This window comes from Homo sapiens, chromosome 10 (assembly GCF_000001405.40).
Source record: "Homo sapiens chromosome 10, GRCh38.p14 Primary Assembly".
NCBI classification, from domain to species: Eukaryota; Metazoa; Chordata; class Mammalia; order Primates; family Hominidae; genus Homo; species Homo sapiens.
This window is the reverse complement of record NC_000010.11, coordinates 47,924,151-47,950,817: the sequence shown is the minus strand read 5'-3', so window position 1 is coordinate 47,950,817 and position 26,667 is coordinate 47,924,151. Positions and strand designations below refer to the sequence as shown.

General features: G+C 46.4%; 1 protein-coding gene across 1 annotated transcript in view, besides 1 other annotated feature; it reads left to right on the top strand.

Annotated features, from left to right (window-relative positions):
• The window catches only part of ANXA8 (annexin A8), a 523,804-nt gene that overhangs the window by 40,979 nt on the left and 456,158 nt on the right, over positions 1–26,667 (top strand). The gene's annotated exons all lie outside the window — the stretch shown is intronic.
• Positions 26,056–26,555: an enhancer, noted in NCBI's record as "H3K27ac hESC enhancer chr10:47089387-47089886 (GRCh37/hg19 assembly coordinates)". NCBI's record gives its function as "activates a minimal SCP1, AML or CMV promoter by ChIP-STARR-seq in naive and primed H9 embryonic stem cells {active_cell/tissue: H9 hESC(naive and primed)}" and the evidence as "EXISTENCE:reporter gene assay evidence [ECO:0000049][PMID:30033119]".

Sequence of the window (26,667 nt, the reverse complement as noted above, 5' to 3'; positions counted from 1 at the left end):
ACAAAAATTTTGATAGTCTGTGTTCTAATTCTTATTTAGGAAAAATTATTTTAAAATATCTTTTGTGATTTTCTCTTTGATCCATGTATTATTTAAAAGCATGTTGCTCAGTTTCCAAATACTTGGGGATTTTCTAGATATCCTTCTGCTATTAACTTCTATTTTAGTTCCACTGAATTTAGATAACATGTTCTATATTATTTTGGTCCTCTTAAATGTATAAAGTTGTTTTCTGCCCCAGATATGGTCCATTATAATGAAAGTTTTGTGTTCAGTTGGAAACAATGTGGATTCTATGAATATGGTGAATTGCGTTGATTGATTTATTGCGCTGTTGATTAAACTGACTTTGCATTCCTAGGATATAGAACACTACACCTAAAAATCTGTATTTAGGTAGAAGGTTCTATAGGCATCAATTAAATCAAGTTGGTTAGTAGTATTGTTCAAGTGTCCTTCCCCTTTATTCATTTTTTCTACTTGTTCTATAAGTTACTGAGAAACAAGTATGACAATTTGTAAATATAAGTGTAGATTTCTCTACTTCCCCCTTCATTTCTGTCCATTTCTTTGTCATATTTTGAAGTTCTATTATTAGGTGAATATATGTTTACAATTTTTCTCTTTCTGATAAATTTATCATTATGAAATGTTCTCGTTTATTTCTTGTTCTGCATATTTCTTGTTCTGAAGTTTACTTTTTCTGATATTTAACTAGCCCCTCCAACTTTGTTATAATTGGTGCTACATGGTATATTTTTTTCCATCCTCTTACTTTTGACCTACCTGTGCCTTTAAATTATTGAGGTCTTCAGACAACATAGAGTTGAGTCTTGCCTTATTATACAGTCTAAAAATATTTGTCTTTTTATTGGAATTTTTAGACCATTTTCATTTTATATAATTATCAGTATAGTTGGGTATAAATCTACCATTTGTCATTTGTTCTCTGTTTATTTCATCTGTTCTTCATCCTTTATTTCTCTTTTCTTGATTTCTTTTAGAGGAATTAAAAATGTTTATGGTTCTATTTTATCTCCACTGTGAGTTCATTAGCTATAACTCTGGCTTCATGTTTAGTGGTTGCATGAGGGTATACAATATGTATCATTAGCTCATTACAAATATACTATTATAACACTTTATGTACAATGTAAGACCTTACAACCATATACTTCTGTTTCCTCCATTCTGTCCATCATGCTATCATTACATATTTTGCTTTAATATGTTATAAGCCACACAGTACGTTGTTATTATTTTTGTTTAAACAATCAATTATCTTTTAAGGAAATTTAAAAATGAGAAAAGCCTTTGTATTTACCCACATACTTACCATTAAGTGTTTTTCATCCTTTGTCCACTTAGTATCACTTCACATTAGAAACACCTGGTGAGTCTTATTATATTTGTTAGTGTGAGGAAAATAATTGAAAGTATACACAGTTACCCAGCTCCTTGTCTCTTATAAGGGGTTGATTAGGAGTATCCAGTGGTGATATCTTTATTGCTAGATCATGCCATGGACTATTAGTGCTCTCTTTACAATTGGAAATAAAGTTATTAGCAACTTAAAGTGTAATCAGATTAGAGACCCAATTTTGGAATAGATAGATATGATTATACTTAAATATAATATATAACTATATATAATTTTGTACATATGCATAACGTGTGTGTGTGTGTGTGTGTGTGTAAGGAATTGGCTCCTATGATTATTGAGGCTGACAAGTCCCAAAATCTGCAGTTAGTAAGCTGGAAACAGCAGAGCCAATGGTGTACTTCCAGTTCAAAGGCTGGCAGGCTCAAGACTCATAAAAAGCTGATACTTCAGTTCAAAAATGGCAGGAAAAAAAAAACCACCTCCCAGCTCAAAGCAGTCAGGCAGGATGAAATTCTCTCTTACTTGCAGGAGAGTCAGTCTGTCTGTTCTATTCAGATCTTCAATAGATTTGATGAAGCCCACCCACATTTCTTAGCCACTGGCATTTAGCAATTGGATTATGTTTTACCTTGCATAGTTTTCTTTGTGCTTATCTTGCTTTTGATCTATTGAGCATCATGGATGGGTGGTTTTGTATGTTTCATCAAATTTGGAGCATTTTTTACCATTATTTCTTCAAATATTTTTTCTCTTCCCTCTTTCCTTTCCTTCTCAGCTTCCAATTACAAGTATGTGATCCATATACTTGCATGAATATTTTCCCACAGGTTACTAAAGATTCATTTAAATTTTCTTTTTAGTCTCTTTTGACTGAATTTTAGTTTTGAAAGTTTCTATTGCAACTTTCAAGTTCACTGATCTTTTCTTCTTCACGTCTAATCTGTTCATTTCATAAAGAAATTTTTTTATTTAAGATTTTTATTTTTGGCCCTTGTATTTCCTTTTTAATTTTTCTCCTTCTTTGATGATTACTTTCATGTTTCCTTTAAATTCGTGTGTATATCTGTAATTGGTGTTTTCAATCCTTTGTGTGCTATTTCCAACATCCATCATTCCTGAGTGTGTTTCTATTGACTGGTTTTTCTCTTGGTAGGAGTTGCACTTCTGTGCATCTTTACATGTCTGTATTTCTTATATGACACCAAACATTGTTAATTATACCTTACTTAATGCTAGATTTTGTTGTCCTCCTCTAAAGATTGGTAGATATTTTTCTGGCAGCCAGCTGAGTTACTTAGAAATTACCCTGACCCTTTTGAGGTTTGTTTTGAAGCTTTGACTGAAGGAAAGGGGTTAGATTAGACTTTATTTAGGGCTTCTTTACTCCTCCTGCCAAGACATGACTTTTCTGGGATCTCAACTGAACGCACCAGATTTTCTACAAGGACGCTCCACTCTGGCTGGTAGGAATGCAGGGGTCCCCCCCATGTCCCACATGAGCTCTGAAAGTGCCTGCTCACTGCTTTCCAATCACCCTTTGCCCAGCCTCCTGGAGTTTCATGATAGACATCCACAACCTAATTTTTATAACAGATCCATGGGGAACCCTGTTGTACTAATCTGTTCTCACACTGCTATAAAGAATGACCTGAGACTGGGTAATTTATGAGTTAAAGAGGTTTAGTTGACTCACAGTTCCACAGGCTGTACAGGAAGCATGGTTGGGGAAGCCTCAGAAAACTTAAAATCATGGAAGAAGGGGAAGAGAAAGCAAACACATCCTTCACATGGCGGAGCAGGAGGGGAAGTGGTAATCTCATGAGAACTCACTCACTATCACAAGAACAGCAAGGGGGAAATCTGCCCCCATGATCTAATCATCTCCCCCCAGGCCTCTCCTCCAACACTAAAGACCACAATTCAACAGGAGATTTGGGTAGGGACATAGAGCCAAGCCATATCAACTGTACAGATTTCTGGATATTTTTCTGTACATTACTCCCTCCTCTCAAAACTGCTGCATTGGGGATTAAGTTTCCAACACATAAACTTTGTGGGACACATGCAACCATAGCAATTCCCTTCCAGGGAGGTTCTGCAAAGAGGCCTGCCACTGATTCCTCATTGCATGGAGATGAGATCTCCCTTATTCTGCAAGGCCATGTGGTTTTTCCATCTCTTTCTAATCTGAGTGTTCAGGTAAAAGTCCATACCTGCTAACAGGGGCAAGCAGGTGCTAAAAACTAGTGAAAAAACTAGTGAAGAGGGCCCAACTAACTGAAGAGTAGCATGCCCACCCAAAGGGTCAGCTGTGACCAAGATCCCACAAAGGTAGCCATGCACAAATGCAGGCCAGGGCTGCTTGACTTCAGATTCTTCAAAAGAAGCTGCAAGTCACAATTTTTACATGAAATGTCCTGTGTGTTAAAAGTTAGCAACTGTGGGCCAGGCTCGGTGGCTCATGCCCGTTATCCCAGCACTTTGGGAAGCCGAGGAGGGTGGATCACAAGGTCAGGAGTTCAAGACCAACCTGGCCAATATGGTGAAACCCTGTCTCTACTAAAAATACAAAAATTAGCTGGGCTTGGTGGCACATGCCTGTAATCTCAGCTACTCGGAAGGCTGAGGCAGGAGAATTGCCTGAACCCGGGAGGCGGAGGTTGCAGTGAGCTGAAGTCATGCCACTGCACTCCAGCCTAGGTGAAAAAGGGAGACTCTGTCTCAAAAAATAAAAAAAAAGTTAGCAACTGTGGAGGACAAACAAAATGCTGACCCTGTCTTCAGACTTCTCCTTGGATGGAAGGGTGGCAGACCCAAAGCCTTTGGCTTAAGAAATCTCCCCAGGGCCAGGTCCTAACAAAACGTGGCTTCTCCCATGATGTCCCCCATGTGTCAATGCTAAACCGACCCTCTGGCTCTGACAATTCAAAGTCAACTCAACAAATGCTTACTAAGCATTTGCTGCCTGACAGGCTCTGGCCTTGATGTTGGGAATAAGACTGGACCGGTCACTCATATCTCTGCCCTCAGAGATGTGACCTCAGAGATTAAACCTCTAGTGTTTACTAGAGGTTAAACACTAGTGAGGAGGCAGATATTAGCCCAACCATCGCAAGAATACATGACTACAAACTGAGATAAATATTAGGAAGAAAAATTGGAGGAAACTAAGAGAGTTTATTACAGCAGATTTTACTGGCTATGATATTTGAACTGAATGTTGAAGGATGGATAGCATTCAAATAATTAAAGAGATTGGATGAGATTGAGAGTAAAGCTTTCCATAAAGTGAGCACAGTACGTGCAAAGGCCCTGAGGCAGAGCAGAGTGTAGGCATTCTACAAACTCAAAGGCCAGTGTGGCTGGAGTGCAGGGAGAAAGAGAGAAAGTGCACACAGGTCTTCTAACACCTAAAAAAAATGTGTTAGCCACCTCGTTTTCCCCAGTGTAGCCAGAAATGCATTGGTAAGGAAAGACCCAGGTTAAAGCAAGCCCGAGTGTGTGACCACCCTCTGCATGGTGGCTCCTGTCCTGCTACCCATTCCAGGAGGACACAGCAAAACCAGGGGCCACATCTTTGATTCTGTAACTTGCATCACAGGTCCTCCAAATACAGCTCCTTCCCCATCAGTCCCTGGATACTTCTAAGTTCATTTCCTGATCAATTTCCCTCTGGCCTATACATCTTAACCATTGAGGATGTTGTCTTGCTCTCGGCCTGGTCCGTCTGTGTTTGCCACTTACTGTGTGTCCCCTCAGGGCCCAGACCAGAGCCACAGACATGGGCTGGACCCCTCCCTAGTGGGTGAAGAGCCCTGGTGTCATCATCCAGGAAGAGGCTGATCCTCCCAAGGAAATGGGACCAGAGGGAGGGGAACTCAGGCTGTCCCTCTCTGGAGCTGACGTAGGCCCATCTTCACCCTGGTTTTGACTTGAGTTTAGATTTGTCTGAGGCCAGGAAGGTTAGTGAGGCAGCAGCGGGTGGGCAAAGAGACCCTTACCCAGTGAAGACAACTGGGGTGAGGCCGCCTCAGGGTAAGGCCCTCTGAAGAGGAGAGGGGTTTTCCCGTGAGCCCATAACATCGAGTCACCTGCTGCCTCCTGATTCAGTCAACATTGCTGAGTGTCTGCAGCTGAGCCCACTCTCTGTGCTGGCACTGGAATCCTAGGTGACAAAATGCCCAGGCCCTGTTCTGAGGAAGCAGATGCCCCTGAGGAAGTGGACAACAGTCCAGCAACCCCATGTGGCAGTGGAAGCACAAGTGAGGGCATGGCTATGCCCAGGAATTCTCTGAACCACAAGAGGGTCGAACTCAGGGCCTGAGCCAGTCTTGGGGGTCAGCAAGAGCATCCCAGAGGGAGTGACATAGAAGCTCTCCACTCCAGGCTAGCTGGGAGTTGTAGGCCAGGTGGAGTACATTCCAGGCAGAGGAAACTGCAGATACAAAATCCTGGGAGCAGGAGAGAGTGCAGAGAGTTTAAGGAAGAAAGAAGTCACATGAAGCGAGATGGGGCTGCAGGAGAAGGAACCTGTACAAGGACAGACTGAGGAGGGTTGAGGGGTGGGGGTGGGTGGGGCCCAGGCTGTCAGGAGATGTATTAGCTCATTCTCACACTGCTAATAAAGACATATCCAAGACTGGGTAAAAGAAAAAGGTTTAATCGACTCACAGTTCCACATGGCTGGAGAGGCCTCTCAATCATGGTGGAAGGTGAATGAGGAGCAAAGTCACATCCTACATGGTGGCAGGCAAAAGAGAGCATGTGCAGGGGAACTTCTCTTTATAAAATCATCAGATCTCATGAGACTTATTCAGCATCACGAGAACAGTATGGGAAAGACCTGCCCCCATGATACAATTACCTCCCACCAGGCCCCTCCCACGACATGTGGGAATTATGGGAGCTATCATTCAAGATGACATTTGGATGGAGACACAGCCAAACCATATCAGGAGATTAGATGGGCCCTTTCAGCACAGTCTGTCCTAGACAAAGAGACTTAAGGAAGACTCAGGGCCCCCCTTGGGTGTGGACATTCACTTGGGAGCAGAGTCCGGAAGCCAGCATGATGCGGGGGGAGGATGCTCTAGATTGACGGTGTTTACCCAAAGTGCATGTGCTGAAATCCTAAACCTCAAGGTGATGCTATTAGGAGGCTGGGTTGTGCAGGGGTGATTAGGTCCCTTATAAAAGACCCTGGAGAGATCCCTCACCCCTTCTGCCATAGGAGGACACAGCAAGAAGGCGCCATCTATGAAAGAGTAAGAGGCCCTCACCAGAAACCAAATCTGTTTCAGCTACTTGATCCTGGACTTCCCAGCCTCCAGAACTGTAAGAAATAAACTTATGTTGTCCACGTGCCACGTGGTGTATGGCATTCTGCAATAGCGGCCCGAGCCAACTAAGAAAGTGGGGAGCCATGGTGAGTGAGTGCCCAGGAGCCAGGAGTGTCTGCCCCAGGGGCTGCAGGTTCAGGCACTGCTCCACGGGGAGGCCTCCACTCCTTGCCAGTTTTGGCAGATCCAGGCTTGGGGCTACAGAGCAGCCTGCCAGACTGCCCCGGACCAGGCAGGAGCACACCTGCCACATGAGAACTGAGCAAGGATGATGCAGTTGCAGCCCACATCCAAAGCCCTCCTTCCAACACACCAAGCTGCACCCCACAGCCATTTTGTGGTTCAAGGTACAACTCACATTTTCAGGAACAGAGGGCAAGGCCTGGGGATCTACTGCCTTACTATAGAGAGAAATCTGCTTCCAATGCCCCACCTGTAGCCCAAAGCCCTCCTACCAGGACACCCCAAAAGTTGTGTCATAGCTGTGCTGCAGGCCTCAGTGACTCGGCTCAGGATGAACACAGGAGGGCTGGAACAGACCATCCCTGCTCCTCCCTCCTTCCCCCACTCCCCGCCCCATGAGTAGCCCTGGCCTTCTGCCAAGGGTCTGGCAGGGCCCAGGAAGGGAGGGTGCCCTTCTTTTGTTCTGCTAAAGTCCTGGGGTTTCTCCCCCATGGTGTCTGACTGCCCAACCTCCACGCGAGCATTTGGAGGCAGGGGGCACTTTGACCCACTTTGCTCATCCCAGCCTCCTACAAATGGCCTCCTGGTCATCAAGTGTGGAGGAAATCACACTTGGAGCCCAACTGGGAGCCCCAAATTCGGCTCCAGCTTGCTCTTGACATGGGGCAGGGAAAAGCAAGGTGGTATGAGGTGCCCAGGCAGGGAGACGGGGAGCCTCAGGTCTTTCTCTCGGCCGGCCTCCAAGGACCGTCAGACTTCTGAGTCTGGTTTCTCATCTCTAACTTGAGATGCCTGAACTATACAGACCCCTATCCTAACACTCTGAATGAAACAATGTGTGATCCCAAGTCCAAAACCTTCAAGGTTGGGATCCTTAAATGACACTGAGCAAACCCACTGAGGAGTTTTTCCAGGTGCTGGGGTTACCCCGAGGGTTCGCCTGGCATCTCCCTCTACCAGGACGTGCAGAATGACTGGATGTTTGAGTGGGAAGGGCATGAGAGTGCATGTCATAGGGAAGGAAGCTGTGGCCCAGGGTCCCCAGGCTGCCTGGCTCCCCACTAAAGGCTCCCTCTGCCTTAGCAATTGGCCTCCTGCCGCCTGTAGGCTTAGCACCATCTCAGCGACAGCGATAACACCTGGAGTGAACAGGCCTCCTGCAAACTTTATGTTGCCCTGGAGATAACAGACCGTTCAGACAGACTCAAACACTTCCAGCCAAGGCAGAGGAGTAGGTCCCCAGCAACAGCAGGACTCATTTGCTTTTAGAGATAATGTTGCTGAGGCTGATTGAACTGTGCTCCAGTCTCTTGTCCAAACACGTGTATTTCTCATCTCTTAACCATGACTGCATGTTTGGAGATAACACCTACTCAGGAGCCTTGGCAACTAGATCAGCCAGCAATCTGTGGGAGAAAAGTGGACTGCCACTAAGTGTCACCAGACAGAATGCCATCCCTTCAGAACACAGCTGTCTGCTCCAAACCCTGTACCTCTCACACCAGCTGGTGGGGGAGCAGGTGAAGCAGCACAGCATTGCAGGAAAGCAATTTTGCAAAAGGTGTCAGAGGCTTAGAAGCTTGCATCTCCTGCTTCCCCTTCATTTTGTTTTGGGTAGCTCTCTTACAGGAATGACTCAAACCAGCCTCCACTGACAGAACACCAAGAACTCAGGGGACCCTACAAAGCTTCCTGGACAGGCTTTTCACCTATTCATAAGGAATTTTAAATTTAAGGAATATAAAAAGTACAAACAAAAATGTTACTACAATCCCATGATCACTGGGGTATTTCCCTCCAGGGGTGTTGCTTCTGTGAATGTATAAGTGCATTTCCAAATAATGAGGTGCTTACTCTGCGGCTTAGCAACTGATTTTAAAATATTTAATAGATAGCAAGCTTTTCTCAGTGCTGTTAAAAAGTAGCCTGTCTTGTCAAGCCTTCTCTGATTGCTGGACATTCTATTGTTTCTTATCTTTCACTACATGATACAGCACACAGAAAGGCATTTTGTACAGAAATCTTACAATCAAATATAGACTCCCCTGTCAGCTCTGAGCTTCTCCACATGCCTTTTCCTTCTGAGTAGTGCTGCTTCCAGTTGCCATGGGCCTGGCCCATAGTAGGTGGTGTTGGATAATGCTTCCCAAATTACCCTGCTTCACTGATGACAAACATAGTGGCTTCCCTCTCATTGTGAAGTGAGTAAATGCATGTATCTGGCACAGCATAAGAACTGAAGAAAATGCCAGCTGTTTTTTTTTTCTTTTTTTGAGACAGAGTCTCTGTCCCCCAGGCTGGAGTGCCGTGAAGCAATCTTGGCTGACTGCAGAGGGTTCAAGCAATCCTGGTGCCTCAGCCTCCCGAGTGCTGGGACTCGAGGCACATGCCACCACGCCTGGCTAATTTTTGTATTTTTAGCAGAGGCGGGGTTTCACCATGTTGGCCAGGCTGATCTCAAACTCCTGACCTCAAGTGATCCATCTACCTTGGCCTCCCAAAATGCTGGGATTACAGACGTGAGCCACCACACCCAGCTGAAAATGCCAGCTTTAATAAAGATGAAGCTAAGGATAAGGACCATCCCCACGCTCAGAGCAGAGCAGGGAAGACAAAGAAAAACAGGTGGTTCTAGGTACTGGTCCTCTCGGAGGAGGGTACAGCAGCCTGCTTCTTACCTGAACTGTGTTTCTTAAATATTTCTAAAAATACTGCCAGGTGTCTGCTTACCCCTGTCTGCAGAAGGAAGTTTGCATATTTGCACAGGAATATAAGCATTTGTTAATTGGTTTCTGTGTTGATATATACAAATGTTATAGATCCCTGGGTCAATAGTTCTGCCTGGGGAAAGGTGGAGGAAGTACAATCAGGTGATAAAGTACTGTGCCCAAGACGCAGAACTTGCTTCCACCGGTGCCCAGAGAATTGGCAGGGGACCATGGTCTGCCTGACTGCCCCTTTCCTTCTCACTCTCCCTCCCTTCCTCCCTCCCTCTTTCTCTCTCTCTCCCTCTCTTTCTCTCTTTTTATTGAGCTTAATTTGCAATATACTGTCCTGCTTTCTTTTCTTTTCTTTTTTTTTTTTGAGATGGAATCTCACTCTGTCGCCTAAGCTGGAGTGCAGTGGCATGATCTCGGCTCACTGCAACCTCCTCCCTCCAAATTCAAGCATTTCTCTGCCTCAGCTTCCCGAGTAGCTGGGATTACAGACGCCCACCACCACGCCTGGCTAATTTTTTGTATTTGTAGTAGAGACGGTGTTTCACCATGTTGGCCAGGCAGGTCTTGAACTCCTGACCTCATGATCCACCCTCCTCGGCCTCCCAAAGTGCTGGGATTACAGGTGTGAGCCACCATGCCCGGCCTGTCCTGCTTTCTTAAATAGAGGCAGACAAGCCCCATTCCCCTAGGCCCTAAAGTCTAGTTTCCATGCTTTGTATGGAGAGCTATTTTTTTCATGCTGTTGCTGGAGCCCTCTGGAGTCTTGATTGGCTGCATCGTGGGGAAGGTGGGCTCGCTGGCCTAGCACCTCCCTGGTCCCCTGTTGGAGGCTAGCTCACCTTCAAGCTCCAATATCTGTTCTTCATGGTGGAAACCAATTTACTGTCCTCTCAGGGGGCATTATTCTGGGCCAGGCACTGTGCCAGCTGCCCAGGAGATAACAACCTACACCCTTTGTTTGCCGGGGTTACAGCCAGGTGAAAAGATGGAGACTCTCTTGCATCCTTCCAGCTCTAAGATTCCCTAAGTGCCCAACAGGAACAAGGCAAAGTGCAAAATCCAGGGATGCAGACACGAAACAAGGGAGCCAGGAAAAGTTTTCAGAGAAGGTAAACTTGGAATTGGAAAGCATGAGATTCGGAAGGCATTGAGCTGGGCACAGTGTGGCATATGTGAGGACCCAAAAATAAGGAGTCTGTGGATTCAAGCATGGGGTGGGAGTGAGGGGGTGCTGGAACAAGCAGGAGAGGAAGGCCAGCCAGGGGGAAGCTGTGAATGGCCAGGGGCCATGTGAAAGCACGGGGACCCCATCCTGCAGAGGGCAGGAACCGCTGAGTGGGAGAGTCAAGGTCAGATGTGAGACGTTGTCCAGAGAAAGGATCGCTGGACAAAAGGCCTGGTGGCAGAGATGTCATTGAGGGAGGTTCTTGACATAGTCCAAGCTAAAGGAACAAGTCTGAATCAGATGCCCCTAACTAGGCAATTCAGTGGTTCACAATAGGAATAACTGTGATGGAAAATCCAGCTGGAATCTGAGAAGGACCATATTTTGCTTTGGACTTGCACTTGAGGTATGTGTGGAACATGCCGTGGAGGCGTCCAGCCTGCAGGTAGACGGAGACTGGAGAAGGTGTGAGTCTGGGAACGGGGCACAGTTGCAATTGCTTATGGAGGGTGTTGGGGGCAGGACACAAAAGCTACAGCAGAACCAGGAAAGCCTGGCATATGAGGGACAGAGGACCTAGCTGGAGTCATGCCATGGGAGCTAAGGGAAGAGGAGATTTCAGGGAGGTGATGTCAAGAATGAAGCTGCAAAGATCAAGTATTGCAAGGACCCAAATCGCATGGCAAGACCATGCCACTTGTGCTTTTTTTTTTTTTTTTTTTTGAGACAGAGTTTTGCTCTTAGTGCCCAGGCTGGAGTGCAATGGTGTGATCTCGGCTCACTGCAACCTCCGCCTCCTGGGTTCAAGTGATTCTCCTGCCTCAGCCTCCCAAGTAGCTGGGATTACAGGTGTCCACCATCACACTCAGCTAATTTTTTATCTTTAGTAGAGATGGGCTTTTATGCAGAGCAGTTTCAGCAGTCACAGAAGTGAAAATGCCTGTCAGCTGAGAAGCAAAGAGAAAGTGAGAGTGTGGTGGCCAGGAGTGTAGAACACTCTTGTGGGGCTTGGCTCTGAGGGGAAGAAGGTCCAGAACAGGGGCTGGCAAAGTCGTGGGGAGTATTTTTCCTAATGGGGGCCTTCGCTGCAGTTTGTAGCTGCAGTGGCAGAGCCTGTAGAGGAAGAGAGGATGAAGATGACCTTGAGGATGCCATCCTGGAAGGCTGGGGAACCGTGATGTCATTACTTATGGGATAAACTCTCCCCAGAGGAGGAATCCTCACGTGCTTTGCATTTGTTCCTTCCCCCAGGCTCAGACACTTTGACACTCCCCAGTCCTGAGTGTGGGGCCAGTTCAGGCAAGGCAGGAGGGAGGAGGAGGCCCAGAGCCCCGTGGAAAATTTTCCTAGGGAGGCCCAAGCCTGACACTGGGAGACAGGTCAGCAACACAGGACACAGGGCTGCACCCAGGCCAGCACGGGGCCCAGAGTGGCAGGCTGGCAACCTGTGTCCCCCTCAACTCATCTCACATTTTTTCTCAACAGTTTGGACATTTATGGCTTTTTATCTAGTACCATATGCCCGTCGATGGGAGCAATGAGGCTGCTGGTCTGGCTTTTAATAGCACAGCTCAGATGTGGACATGGCTAATACTAACTTAGATGAGGAAATTAACTGGAAGAGCCATGGAATCAAGCTTGGCCTGTGTAGGACAGTCCTCTTAAAATGAGATTATGATTTTAACAAAAATCACGCAGCACCTGCCATGTACTGGATATTCTACTCGGTCCTGATGCTGGCTTTGCTGGCAGATCTCTACTTCATTCCATGGAGAGGTTGGAGGGCCTTAAAATTACTCTATTTCCCACAAAGATAAATCATAGACTCAAAAAATAACAGATGCTGGTAAGGTTGTAGAGAAAAAGGAATGCTTATACACTGTTGATGGGAGTGTAAATTAATTCAATCATTGTGGAAAACAGTGAGGTAATTCCCCCAAAGACCTAAAAACGGAACTACCATTCAACCCAGAAATCCCACTACTGGGTATATACGCAAAGGAATATAAATCGTTCTACCATAAAGACACATGCATGCACATGTTCATTGCATCACTATTCACAATAGCAAAGACATGGAATCAACCTAAATGCCCATCAATGGTAGATTGGATAAAGAAGATGTGGTACATATACACTATGGAATACTATGCAGCCATAAAAAAGAATGAGATCATGTCCTTTACAGGAACATGTCCTTTACAGGAACATGATCTTGTTCTTTTTTATGGCTGCATAGTATTCCATAGTGTAGGCTAGAGCTGGAGGCCATTATCCTTAGCAAATTAGCACAGGAACAGAAAACAAAATACCACATGTTCTCACTTATAAGTGGGAGCTAAATGATGAGAGCCCATGGGCAGAAAGAGGGGAACGACAGACACTGGGGCCTACTTGAGTATGGAGAGTAGGAGGAGGGAGAGGATCAGAAAAATAACTGTTGGGTACTAGGCTCAGTACCTGAGTGATTAAATAATCTGTGCAACAAATCCCCATGACACAAGTTTACCTATGTAACAAACCTGCACATGTACCCTGAAACCTAAAATAAAAGATTTTAAAAAATAAATAAAAATGTTTAAGTAAAATAAAAAATAAATTTTAAAACTTAAATTAACTTTTAAAAAAACCATGGACTCTTAGAAGAGCACAAATTCTTGAAAATATTCTGGTTCAAACCCTTCATTTGACTACTATGGAATCTGAGACTCAAAGAGAGTTAGCGACTTCCAGACCTCTCTGTGTAGGTGGCAGATCCATTGAACTATCAGAAGACAGCTGCCATCATCCGACAAGGCTTCTGTGGGGCCCAGGCACCTCTTTCGGACAAGTGTGGGGCTTGGACCAGAGCCCCCATAGCTTCTGGGTGGTGGGGGGCAGGCATGGGTAATGCATTGTAGGGGGTGATCTGGGCGGCGAGAGGAGGACTAGAAGGAGGTGGTAGGCACAGCAAACAGAGGCAACTTTCAACATCCCTCAAGGTGCCTGCCTTCCTCAGAACTCCGCCTCCCTTTAGCAAGCTGAAGAGAGTGAGAGCAGCCTCCCTTTAGCAAGCTGAAGCAAAAGGCTTTGGAAATGATCTTGGGGCCGCAAACTCCTTGAGCAAACAAGGGAAAAGTACTTAGCAGCCCATACACTTCCTGCTAGATCAGAGTTCATCAGGGAAAATCCACAGAGATAATCTCAGGAACAAGCGTTCTGACCCTTCCAGGGCAGCGCACTGGGACCTAGCCGGGCTGATGTCAGACTCCAGGAGAGCGACCCCGGACCTTGGGCTTATATGATCAAGGAAGCACAGCCCCTGGCCTGGTGGGATCAGAGCTTGATCTGATCGTAGTGGGGTATGGCAGAACTCTGGCCATCAGCCCTTCTCTTCCAGCTCAAGGGGGAGGCAGGTGGGGTTGCAGGGAGCAGCAGCCCCACTCCAGCATGATCAGGAGCTGGGGTTCCAGTCTATGACACAGCAGCATCCTACCAGTGTTGATCATCTTCAGATTCAGCCAAAACCAGCTTCCTTGGAGCTCTGCAGGAGACGAACTTTGTGAGGCCAGCCTGCCGAGAATAGGGAAACCAGGAATCGGCTGAAGTTTGGCAGTGGCTTACAAAACTAAACACACCATTGCCATACAATCCAGCAAAAGTACTCCTTGATATTTACCCAAAGGAGTTGAAAGCTTATGTTCACATAAAAACCTGCACATGGATGTTTACAGCAGTAGCTTTATTCATCATTGCCAAAACTTGGAAGCAACCAAGATGTCCTCGAGTAGGTGAGTGGATAAATAAATTTTGGCACATCCAGACAATGGAATATCACTCAGCTCTAAAAAGAAATGAGCTGTCAAGCCATGAAAAGAAATGGAGGAACTTTAAATGCTTATTATTAAGTGAAAAAAGCCAATATGAAAGACAACATACAGTATTATTCCAACTACATGGCTTTCCGGAAAAGGCAAAACTACGGGGATGGTAAAAAGATCGGTGGTTGCCAGGGTTTAACAGGAAAGGAGGTGATAAATAGGTAAGACACGGAGGATTTTTAGGGCCATGAAACTATTCTGTGTGATACTATAATGGTGGTTACGTGTCATGATGCATTTGTCCAAATCCATAGAATGTACAACACCAAGAGCAAACCCCGAACCATGGAGTCTGGCATCAACTGTAACAAACACACCACTCTAGTGGACAGTGTAGCTAACGGGGAGGCTGTGCATGTTTGGGGCCCAGGAAGGATACGGGAAGTCCTTCTTGGCCTTCCAGAAACTGGACTCCTGGCCCATCTTTTCATCTCTTTGGAGAAACAAACAACAAACAATAATCTCGTCATAATTAAAATTCACTGTGATATAAAGCTACTCTAAAAATAGTACAATTAAAATTAAAATTTATTTCATTTCTTGAGCTGACATTTCAGACAGCCCAGTGGCCTCCCACTAAACTCGAAGGTAATGAGTCTCTGCTCAGTCTCACCTCCTGGGCTTCTGTTCCAGTGTGAGTCTGAGCTCCATTCAACTCTTCCTGGGCCTTTTCAGCTCTAGGTGTAAAGGTTCAGTGTGAACTCGTAGAAAGAAGACAGGCTTTTCAGTCAACAGATCTGAATTCTTATAAGGACTGTCTCATAGTCCTTGGTCTCAGTTTCCATATTTGTACAGTGAGGATCATGGTACAGCGTTAGGGCTGGACAGAAAGCCCTCAGACTGGCTTAGGACAGATGGAGTGGTCATTTGGGTTCTTTCTACTCCATTTCACTGTGACTATAAAGCTGCTCTAAAAAATAGTGAGAGTAAAACGAAAAGATTGATGTTGATTTTCATACTTTAACCCAATATATCTAAAATATTGCTATTTCAACATATAATCAATATACAAAATTATTAATGAGACACTTCACATTCTTTGTAGGGGCTGTCTTTGAAATTCAATGTGTAATTTACACTTGGCACATCTCAATTTGTGCCAGTTCTATTTCACGTGCTCAGAAGTCACATGTGGCCCATGGCCACCACACTGGACAGCTATGGTTTCATTGTCCAACCCCACCTTGGAACCCAAATCCTTGGAACCCATGATCCTCACTGTACAAACATGGAAACTGAGACCAAGGACTATGAGACAGTGCGTGTAAGAATTCAGATCTGTTGACTGAAAAGCCTGTCTTCTTTCTACGAGTTCACACTGAACCTTTACACCTAGAGCTGAAAAGGCCCGGGAAGAGTTGAATGGAGCTCAGACTCATGCTGGAACAGAAGCCCGGGAGGTAAGACTGAGCAGAGACTCATCACCTTCAAGTTTAGTGGGAGGCCCCTGGCTGTCTGAAATGTCAGCTCAAGAAATGAAATAAATTTTAATTTTAATTGTACTATTTTTAGAGTAGCTTTATATCACAGTGAATTTTAATTATGACGAGATTATTGTTTGTTGTTTGTTTCTCCAAAGAGATGAAAAGATGGGCCAGGAGTCCAGTTTCTGGAAGGCCAAGAATCGAAGTAGTAAGCTGCAGCCGTTTTCCAGACAAGCAGGATGTGGGGATGCAGAAGAATTCAGGACTGGAGGGGCAAACTCCGTAAGCAGGGGCTGTCACGATTCCCATCTCCCTCTATAAACCTCTCTCTTTTCATGTCATACTGTTCCATGTTATATGTAACTGTTTTAAAGCTACATACTGGACAAAAAGTGGAATAGACTCCAGCCTCTGAATTGTTAAATAAGCTGATGACAAACCTTCACATTTTCTCCATCAGGATGTGACTGAGGCCCCACTGCCAAATGGCAGCATGCTCAGATAGCACCCAGGAATTTGGGGAAAAAAACTGGTGCTCACAGCTGCCCAGTTAAGGCACAAGTCTCCCGCCTGCTGCAGGTATGTGGGTGGGACAAGTGGGTCAGTCCACAGAACAAAAGGTATGTAAAGGAGGCCTTCTTTTTGGGAAATCCTTTGTAGATCCACCACCCACACCTTAGTCACAAGCCCAGAAGGGGCTGAAAATGACATTTCCAAGGGGCACAGGCTGCCAGCCATCACAAAGCACACTATCTGGTGGGGGAGATATGGCTATCGCAGAGTTTTCACCCACGAGCTGGAGTTCTTTGTTCTGAATGCATGCCCTGCTTTCAGTATGGTTTCCTTGGCAGTCAAAAAGATGCTAATCAAATGCCCCATTGATAGCTTTATGAATGAAAGGATGTGTATTTTAAGAGAGCTTTTTGCCGGCACCCAATTACACTGATAAACTTTTCGCAGTCTGACAGGAATTAGTTTCAAATAAGTGGTGACATTTAAACAACAACAAACCTCAAGGCCATGATTAAGCAGCCACACTCTCAAGCACCCTCCTGCTCCACCGATCATTGTCAAGTGCCCTTGCAGATGCCTGTTTGGCTGCCCAGGCTGGGAGTGCTGGCTACTGCCGGCTAAGCAGACATCTTGCTCTGCTCCTCGGACCCTTTCCCAATATCTCCTCTGGACCTGGGAGCCCCATTCCGGTCTGTCTGTATTTGCAGGGGTTGTGAGGTGTATCAGAACCTTGAAGAGATACTCTGGGAAGAAAGGCCTTCCCAGACTGCCTCTCCGCAGTGCTGTAAGAATCAGATTTCTTCTATGGGGGACTTCCAGGTCTCTTCAGCATTTTCTCAGTCATCACTGTATCCCTGCCACTCAGTGAACCACAGCAACAACTCCCAGCTTCCAGCCGAGAAGCTTGACCCTGAAGCTGGCCTCGATTCTCTACAGAAGTGAGGCCACAGAGCACAGGTGAAGGGCCACTTACCTGGTATCATCTCTGGTCTCAGCTCTGGAGAACTAGCTCCTCTGCCACTGCCACATCCTGTCCACCAAGACCTCCTTGCTGAACCCCACCCCCACCCGGTGCCTCAGGACCCTAACTTGTTTGCTGACCTCCATGTCCTCTCACCAGATCAAGCCCTGGGGAGCTGAACTTCCTCTGGCCCACTGCCAGCTCTGGATCAGTCCACACCCCAGCCAGCCACAGCCCAGCCCTGCCTCTCTCTGTCTCTCTCTCATGGCTGGGTTGGCCTTGGCCAATGCTCTCTCTAGAGATCAAGACACAGGCACCTCTCTTGGTCTGTTCTGGCTGCTGTGACAAAATGCCTTAAGCTGGGTGGCTTATAAACCACAGAAATTTATTTCTCACTGTTCTGGAGGCTGGGAAGTCCTACAGACTGGGGTACTGGCCTGCTTGTTTCCTCATGAGGGCTCTCTTCCTGGGTTGCAGATGGACATCTCCCTGATGTATCTTCACATGGCAGAGAGAGAGAGAGAGAGAGAGAGAGACAGAAAGACAGAGAAAGAGAGAGAGAGAGAGAGAGAGAGAGCATGCTCTTTGGTCTCTTCTGGTAAGGGCCTAATCCCGTCATGAAGAATCCCCATAACTTCAACTAAATCTAATCACTTCTCAAAGGCTCCATCTCCACATACCATCCCATTGTGGGTTAGGGTTTCAACATAGGAATTCTGGAGGCACACAAACGTGCAGTTCAAAACATGTGGAGACAAGGGGGCAAGGACTAGAGAGCCCTACCATCCTCGTTCAAACCCTTGAATCAAGCCTGAAGTCAAAGAACTTCCTTTGGAGAGCCCCATTCCATGAGCCGATAAGTTCCCCATTTTGCCATCACCCACTTGAGTTTGGGATTTTCCCCCAGTTACTGAGTGCCTGACTGACATGATGCCCCCCACAGATGGGCCTCCCTGCCCCCAATCTCACCTCCTCTGTTAGTTTCCTGGGGTTGCCACAACAAAGCGTTACAGGCAGAGCGGCTAAAATGACAGAAACTTATGGTCTCACAGTTCTGGAGGCTGCAAGTTCAAGGTCAAGGTGTCAGCAGGGTTGGTTCCTTCGGAAGGCTGTGCAGGAGCCTGTTGGGTGCCTGTCCCTCAGCTTCTAGTGGATTACTTCCATCTTCAGCATGCCTTGGCTTGTAGAAGGACTACCCTGAACTCTGCCTTCATGGTCACAACACATCCTCCCTGTGTGTGTTTCTGTGTCCAAATTTCCCCTTCTTATAAGGACACCAGTCTTATACGGACAATGCTCAATGTATGAACCTTTGCCAAGGGATTGGATTAGGGACCCACTATATTCCAGTATGACCTCATCTTAACTAATTATACCTGCAATGACACTGCTTCCAAAGAAGGCCACATGATGAGGTACCGTTGGTTAGGAATTCAATATATGAGTTTGGGGGGACACAGTTCAGCCCACACCACCTCCTCTGACCCTGAATTGGATGCTGTTTCTGCTCTGCTTATGATCCTCTTGTCCTCACTGGCCTCTTGGTCCAGCACCCACTGAGGCACCAGCTCTGAGAGAGCTCACTGGCTTCACACAGGTGCGACCTGATGGCGCCTCACCTCATACCCCAAACATCCTTCTCATCTCTGCAGGACCTGCTCTGTTTATGTCCAGGTATGTTCAGTGTTCCTGTGTGTCCCCAGAGTGTGGGGAGGTAATGCTCCATGTACGAACCTTTGCCAAGGGAATATGGAAACCGATGGATGAGTTCTTACCTCTTTTTTCGTCCAGACAAACTGTCCTAAGATGGTTTTAAGAGATACCGAGTAATCAGCTGCCAGCTCAGTAGCGCATCTTCAGATTGACTCTCCCTCCTTCCCTGTCTCCTTCCCCATATTCTTCATCTTGTTCCCTGGGATCTTTCTCCCTAATAAAGGAAAAGCTCATAGACCTCTGCCCCAGATTCTGCTTTCTGGGGAATGCAGGCCAATCCAGCCACACTACTCTCCCTCCATGTAACCTGACCATGCCATCCCCCTGCTTAAAAGCTTTCAGTGCTTCTCCATTGCCCATAAAGCTCATACTTTCTAGCTATGAGCTTCAAGGCCACTTGGAGGTCATCTGGCCAACTGTCCTTCCTGCTACAACAGTCTAAGTCATAGGCTTTGGAAGATAACTGATTGGGTTTCATCTTTGGCTCTTATTGAAAATGTGGAAAAAATTATTTCACCTCTATAAGCTTCAGTTTCTTCATCTATCTGATCTCAGGATTGAGGGAAGGCAATGTATATAAAGCATCTGGCACAGTGGTTGGGGCACTAAATACATGGCAGCCAGTGTTTATTATTACAAACCAGGAAACCAGGATGCAAAGGGAGCTGCTTCAGCTCCCTTTCAGTCAGCAGACAACGGCTGTCAAACTTGGGACCAAACAGCTACAAAACCAGATGCCCGCTCTCCACAAATAAGAGGCTGAAGTGCAGCTCTCCACTGATGAACTATAACAGTTGGAAATTCACTTGTACTATGGATATTTCTTCTGCACCTCTCGTGAACAGCCTGTTCTTGCTGAGAGCTGGACAGTAAATAAAACATCTACAGTGCCTACTTCCATGGGGTTCATGTTCTAATGAGGGAGTGGAGACCCTCAACAAAGAACCAGCCAATGTGCTAAGTCCTGTGGCAGAAACTGGGCAGAAAAGGGAAGAGAGAGGGAGGATGGTTATATTTTTACAGGATGGTTAAAAAATTAGTCTTCTGTTTTTTGAGACAGGCTTTCACTCTGTTGCCCAGGCTGGTGTGCAACGGTGTGATCATGGCTCACTGCAGCCTTGACCTTCTGTGCTTAGTCAATCCTCCCACCTCAGCCTCCCAAGTAGCTCAGAATACAGGCTTGTGCCACCATGCCCAGCTGATTTTTGTAATTTTTGTAGAGAGAGATGGGGTTTCACTATGTTGTCTAGACTGGTCTCAAATTCCTGGGCTCAAGTGATCTGCCTGCTTTGGCCTCCCGAAGTGCTGGGATTACAGGCACAAACCACCATGCCCAGCCAGGAAATTAATCTTCTAATAAAGGTTCACTTAAGGTGAAGGGAGCAAGGGAGAAAGTTGATATCAAGGGGTGGCATTCCAAGCAGCAAGAGTAGGAAGTAGAAAGGCCTGAGGCGGGAGAGGTCTTAGCCTGTTCAAAAGATAGCAGAGAAGCAAGCACTGCTGAAGAGGAGTGGGTGAGGGGAAGGGTAGTGGGAAGTGAGGCCAGAGAGGGGTGGATGATCTGCAGACACAGGTGGAGACTGTGACTGTGAAATTTGCCCTGAGTATGATGGAAAGCCACTGGAGGGTTGAACAAAGTTGTAGAGGCACCTGACTAGTTTCAGTGGATCACTCTGGCTGAATGAGGCCAGAAAGGAGGCCTCTGCCATGATCTCAGTAGGGAGGACAGTGGCTTGAACCTGAAGGCAGAGCCTGGAGGCAGTGAGAAGTGGTCATTCTGAGAACATTTTGAAGGCACAGCTTACAGAACTCACCGATAGATTGGATGAGGGTTGTGAATAGGAGGTGATCCCAAAGACTGTGGCCCAAGCAAATGAAAAGCAGGACTTGCCCTTTTCTGAAAAGGAGGACACTGAGGAAGGAGGTAGCAGGGACAAATCTGGAGTTTGCTTTTGAATGTGCCAAGCTTGAGATGCTGACTGGTGTCTAGGAAACACAAAGCATGCCTGGACACCCAAATGTGGAGGTCAGGGAGAAGTTCAGACTGGAGATACACTGGGGAACATTAGAGTATTTGTGGCATTTAGCACCAGAAAACTGGGTGAGCTCACCAGGGGAATGAGAGGACCTCCAGGGCTCCTTGGGGATGCTCCAGTGTCCCAAAATCAGGGCAACAAGAGTCCAAGAAAAGAGATGGGGAAGAAGAGCCCAATGAGGCAGGGAGAACCATGACCATTATGCCCTGAAAAAGCCACATGCAGGAGTCTCAAGGAGAAGGGAGTGACCAACTGCCCAATACAGCTGACGACCATATCAGACAAGACTGAGAACTGGCCACAGGATTTGGCAACATGGCAAGAGCTATATGAATGGACTGGTGAGCACATAAGAGGAGAGGAAGTGGAAGCTTCAGGATTAGACAGGGGGCCAGGCACAGTATCCCATGCCAATCCCAGCACTTTGGGAGGCCGAGACAGAAGGATCACTTGAGGCCAGGAGTTCAAGACCAGCCTGGGCAACAGAGAGAGACCTCATCTCTACAAAAAAGGAAAAAAAAAAGGAAAACCAGCCTGGACAACATAGGGAGACCCAGTCTCTATCAAAAAAAGAAAAAAAAAAGACTTAATTTTTTAATTAGCTGGACATGGTGGTATGCACCTGTGGTGCTAGCTATTCAAGAGGCTGAGGTGAGATGATCACTTGAGCCCAGGAGTTCGAGTTGCAGTGAGCTATGTTCATGCCACTGCATTCCAGCCTGGGTGACAGAGCAAGACCCTGTCTCTAAAAGAACAAAAAAAAAAAAAAGAGAGAGAGAGAAAGAGGCTAGACAAGTCTCTGGAGGAGTTTTGTGCAAAAAGGAGCAGAGAACACTGATGGTGTGAGAGTGATGTTCTTCAGGAGATGACAGTGAATGGGATCTGGGGACAATGGAGGTCTTTGGGGCTGTTAGCTTGTTTGTTCTTCTCTGGCCATTCCAGCACTCAGGGTCACCTTCCCCTCCAGGCCCCTCCACTCCAGTGACTCCTTTGGTGACTTATCCACTCATGCATTCTGAGTCTTTCCTGTATCACCTCCTGACCCCTCCAGTGGCTCAGTCACTATCTAGCTGTGTGACCTTGGATGAGTCACTTAACCTCACAAGAAGCAGCAATCAGTGAGTCCGGTGACTTCAGTTTCTTCCAGTATCAGGGTGGACAGAGAGTCACAGTGGTAGGACCTGGGGGTGTTTCTCTAAGGTATGTGGAAATTTAGGCTCCCCTTTGATCTCAGATTCATGGAGAACCCAGAACTGGTTATTAGAAAACTCTTGCGGAGTGAATAGGTAAGCTTCTTTCATATTAATTCTTCACTTGGCAAATGCTTAAGTGCCTGCTCTATCCAAGGGTGTGTCAGAGGTTTTGCAAGGGTGGAGGATGAGCCTCTTGGATTTTACCCTCAAAGAGCTCATAACCTTGTGGGGTGGTGGGTGTGTCTATTCAAAACCATAACAGGGCAGACTCTCTGGCACATCATTTTGTGTTCATCTTTAGGACCAGTTGTCACAGTTGCACACACAAATTAAAGTTCCACAGGAGGTGGGATGTTTTCGGTCTTGTACTCTATGTGCCTGACACATCGTAAGCAGTCAGTACATGTTTGTTGAATGAAAGCAGTATTGAATGGTACCATTTAATTTGTGTTTTGAAGCAAGGGTGGGATTTGGACCTACACAGATGGGCGAGGGGGCGCATTGCAGACTGGCGGGGGTTGGGGTGGCTGGAGGCAGGAGGAGGGAATGGCGGGAGCAGATGTACAGAGACAGTGACACCCAAGGCATGGTTGGTAATTGCAGGCCGACTGTGACTGGATCGTGTGATATGTCAGGATGCAAAGAGACTGAAAAAGTAAGTTGGGGCCAGATGGTGGAGAGGGTTGAATTCAAGCTATGTTAAAGGGATCAGATTTATCTATAGTAGGATGATCTCATGTTCCCATTTCCCAGGGTAGTTTTGCCTGTTGTCCCAGGGTGATTATTCATGGTGGCCCCTTTCATGCTCAAGTATCCCTGTTTGGATAAGTTATGTGGTCCTGCAACCCTAAAGGCTTTGTGGAACCCCCAAAGGTTTCACAGAGGGACAGGGTCAGGCTAGCCTTGAATGGTCAGTGCCCACAGTGTTTGCTGGACCTGGAGGCAGGAGCTGGGACACCCTCCAGTCTGGGCGATACAGGTCAAAGTCTTTTGGTTAATGGTAAATCACCAACAGTGGCCAGGGTACGGTGAAATGGGCACTCTTCAGGGAGTGCCCTGAAATTGTTCCAGACCTTTTTTGGAAATCAACTTTGCAGCACACGTCAAGAGCCTTGAAAACTGTCCATGCCCTTTGTTAATTCCACTTCTGGAAATCTCTCCTAAGGAAATAATTCCAAATATAGAAAAGGTTCTTTGCATAGACGTTCATCATAAAACTCTATGCAACAGGTCTAGAGACAGCTCAGAATGCCACAACAGATGATATTAAGGACATAGGATATATCTATCAATGGACTCTAAGTTCCATAGAACAGGGACAATGTCTGATTACAACCACTGTATCCCCACAGCTAACATAGTGTCTGACATATTTAATGAATAAACAAGTGAATAAAAATTTATATCAGGTTAAACAAAAAAGATATAAAACAATCCTTAAATATGATATATAAGTTCCCATGTGGACACACTATGCTCTCAACCATTTTTTTAAAAAACAGACATATGTATATGACTATGCATATGAAAACTTTTAAAATGACTCCCCAAAATGTAAACAGTGATTATGTCTGAGTGGTGGAACTCCTGATAATTTCCTTTTTTCAATTTTATTTTTGTATATATTGTATATCTTTCAGAATGAATATGATTACTTTTATAATGGAAAAAAAAAGGCCACATCAATACTTTAAAAAAGAAAGGCTAGCATTAGGCAGGGTTTTAGCACTCACAGCCAGGACGTGATAAAGTTTTGCATCTTCCAAGGGTTCCCAGTCAGTCTTTGTGGTATGAGTCTCCAATTCCAGCCATGATCCTCCTCTGTAAGGTGGGTACCTCTCACAATGGGTGGCAGAGGGTCCACTTGCTGGCTAGAGATGCCCTCCCACCCCCCCCACCACCCCCAGGAGCTAGAGATACTGAGGGGTACTGGCTTTCACTGGGACAGTTCGTACACTTGTAAGCGGCCATCAAAAATGATATCTAGGCTGGGCACGGTGGCTCATGCCTGTAATCCCAGCACTTTGGAAGTCAGAGCAGAGCGGATCACCTGAGGTCAGGAGTTCGAGACCAGCCTGGCCAACATAGTGAAACCCCATCTCTACTAAAAATACAAAAAAAAAAAAAAAATAGCTGGGTGTGGTGGCAAGCACCTGTAATCCCAGTTACACAGGAGGCTGAGGCAGGAGAATTGCTTGAATCCAGGAGGCAGAAGCTGCAGTGAGCCAAGATCGTGCCATTGCACTCCAGCCTGGGCAGCATGAGTGAAACTCCTTCTCAAAAAAAAAAAAAAAAAAAAGATATCCAGCAAGATGAAAAACTGTTGATGATACAGTTTTAAGTGAAATAGAGCAGAATACAAAAAGCCATGTTCACTAAGAACATATCTATGCAAACTATGCACATGGCAAATATTTATCAAAAGAATGAAAAAGCCTCACAAAAAATATGACCACATGCAGCCAGAGATGAGACAGACAACCAAAACTGAATGCACCTTTTCAGCAATAACAATTTTAGAGACGTTCCCAGAACTAGGATGGGTGTCTACAGGTGCTTACCCAGTGTCTCTAGGCTCCAGGGCAACCTGTTTCTTAGAGCAGAGCTTCTCAAACTTTAATGTGCACACAATTAACCTGGGATCCTGATAAAACATGGATTTGGATTCAATCGAGCTGGGCTGGCAACAAGGACTGAATATCTACAAACTCCAGGTGATGCTGGGGCACAGAACACACTCAACGAGGCTTCTACCCACTACCCCAATTCTTAGCACCAAACACTTTCCCCAGAGGCCTAGCCTGGCCCTCCGTCCTCAAGCATGTCTGCACCTGAAATCATCTTTGTCCCCAGCATCTTGGCACCATCGAGACTAATAATGAGAAGCAACTCCAGGCACTTGCGTGGGATCCAGGGGGGCCTGAGGCCCCCAATTCCTTGGGAAGCTTGAACAATGACATCTTTCTGGGGTGATGGGAAGACAAAAGTGACTCCATCTTGGATGCTAATTTGCCCATGTTGACTTCTGATTAGCCCCAGTCCCATGAATGCCTCCTGACTCCTACTTTATTTACTGTCCCGAGTGTAAGAATATGTACTCCTGCTTTTAGATCAAAGCAAGCTTGATGTTATCATGCAAATTCTGGGCTATGATGCACATGGCGTTCTTGCCTGCTCTGGCACACTACCTTTCACTGTCTTGCTGGAGCATGTATATCCTTTTCCCTTGGTATATAAGCCTTGGGTCCGAGAGTAACAGTGCAGAGATCTGCCTGTCTTGTGGCCACCCGAGACCACCCGCCTGCTTAAAAGTTCCCTCAATAAATCACTCAATACCAACAAACTGGATTTGTCTGCTTCCTTCTTTGGTCTCTTGGCTCCTTTGGCATTTGGGGGTTGCTTTGTGCATGTGGGCTTTTCACAAAATAGATGGGTCCCGGAGCCTGGGCTTCGCTGGCAGGTGGTCACCTGGAGCAGCCAGCAGCAGATGGCACCACAGGACAAGCACAAGCTGTGTCCAAGAGAGTGGCTCAAGAAATCTGCCCAAAATCCAACACAAAAATGAACAAAGGAACTGAATGGGAGATGTGACCAAAAGAAGCGATAAGACAAACAGCTCCAGGAAGGGAGCTGCTGGCTCAAAGAGCACTTGTCTTGGGCGTCAGTTCCACCGGTTCTTGGTCAGGGGTGAGAGCCCTATGCCAGACCCCCTTTGCAGAACCTATGCTGGCTTATGATGAGGCTCTTCCAGGGCTCCAGCACATGAACACCCTGCCCTGGGAGGCTATAGTAGGCCAGCCACTGTCCACTCTGCTGGAGGGTCAGTCTGAGCCAACAGAACCATGCGGAGACATCCCATCCAATGCAGCCCAGGAGCAGTCTTGACATTTCTTTCCCTGCAAGGACAGGCTGTCTGGTCCACACATAGATGAAGCCTTGGGCCTGGTTCAGCATCCAGAGGACTAGGCCATAACCCCCAAGGTAAGATATTCACACTCATTGGAGCCCTTTCTCCTTTTTCCCTGGATGGCTGGAGGAAGGGGACCCCTGCTTTTTTCAGCCAGTGCCCCATGAAGTTAGACTCCCAGGACTCCCTGCCCCTGATCCTACTTAAGGCCACTGGGATGCCCAATACCCTGAGGAAGCTTTGAAAGATACGTGGCACATTATCTGGGG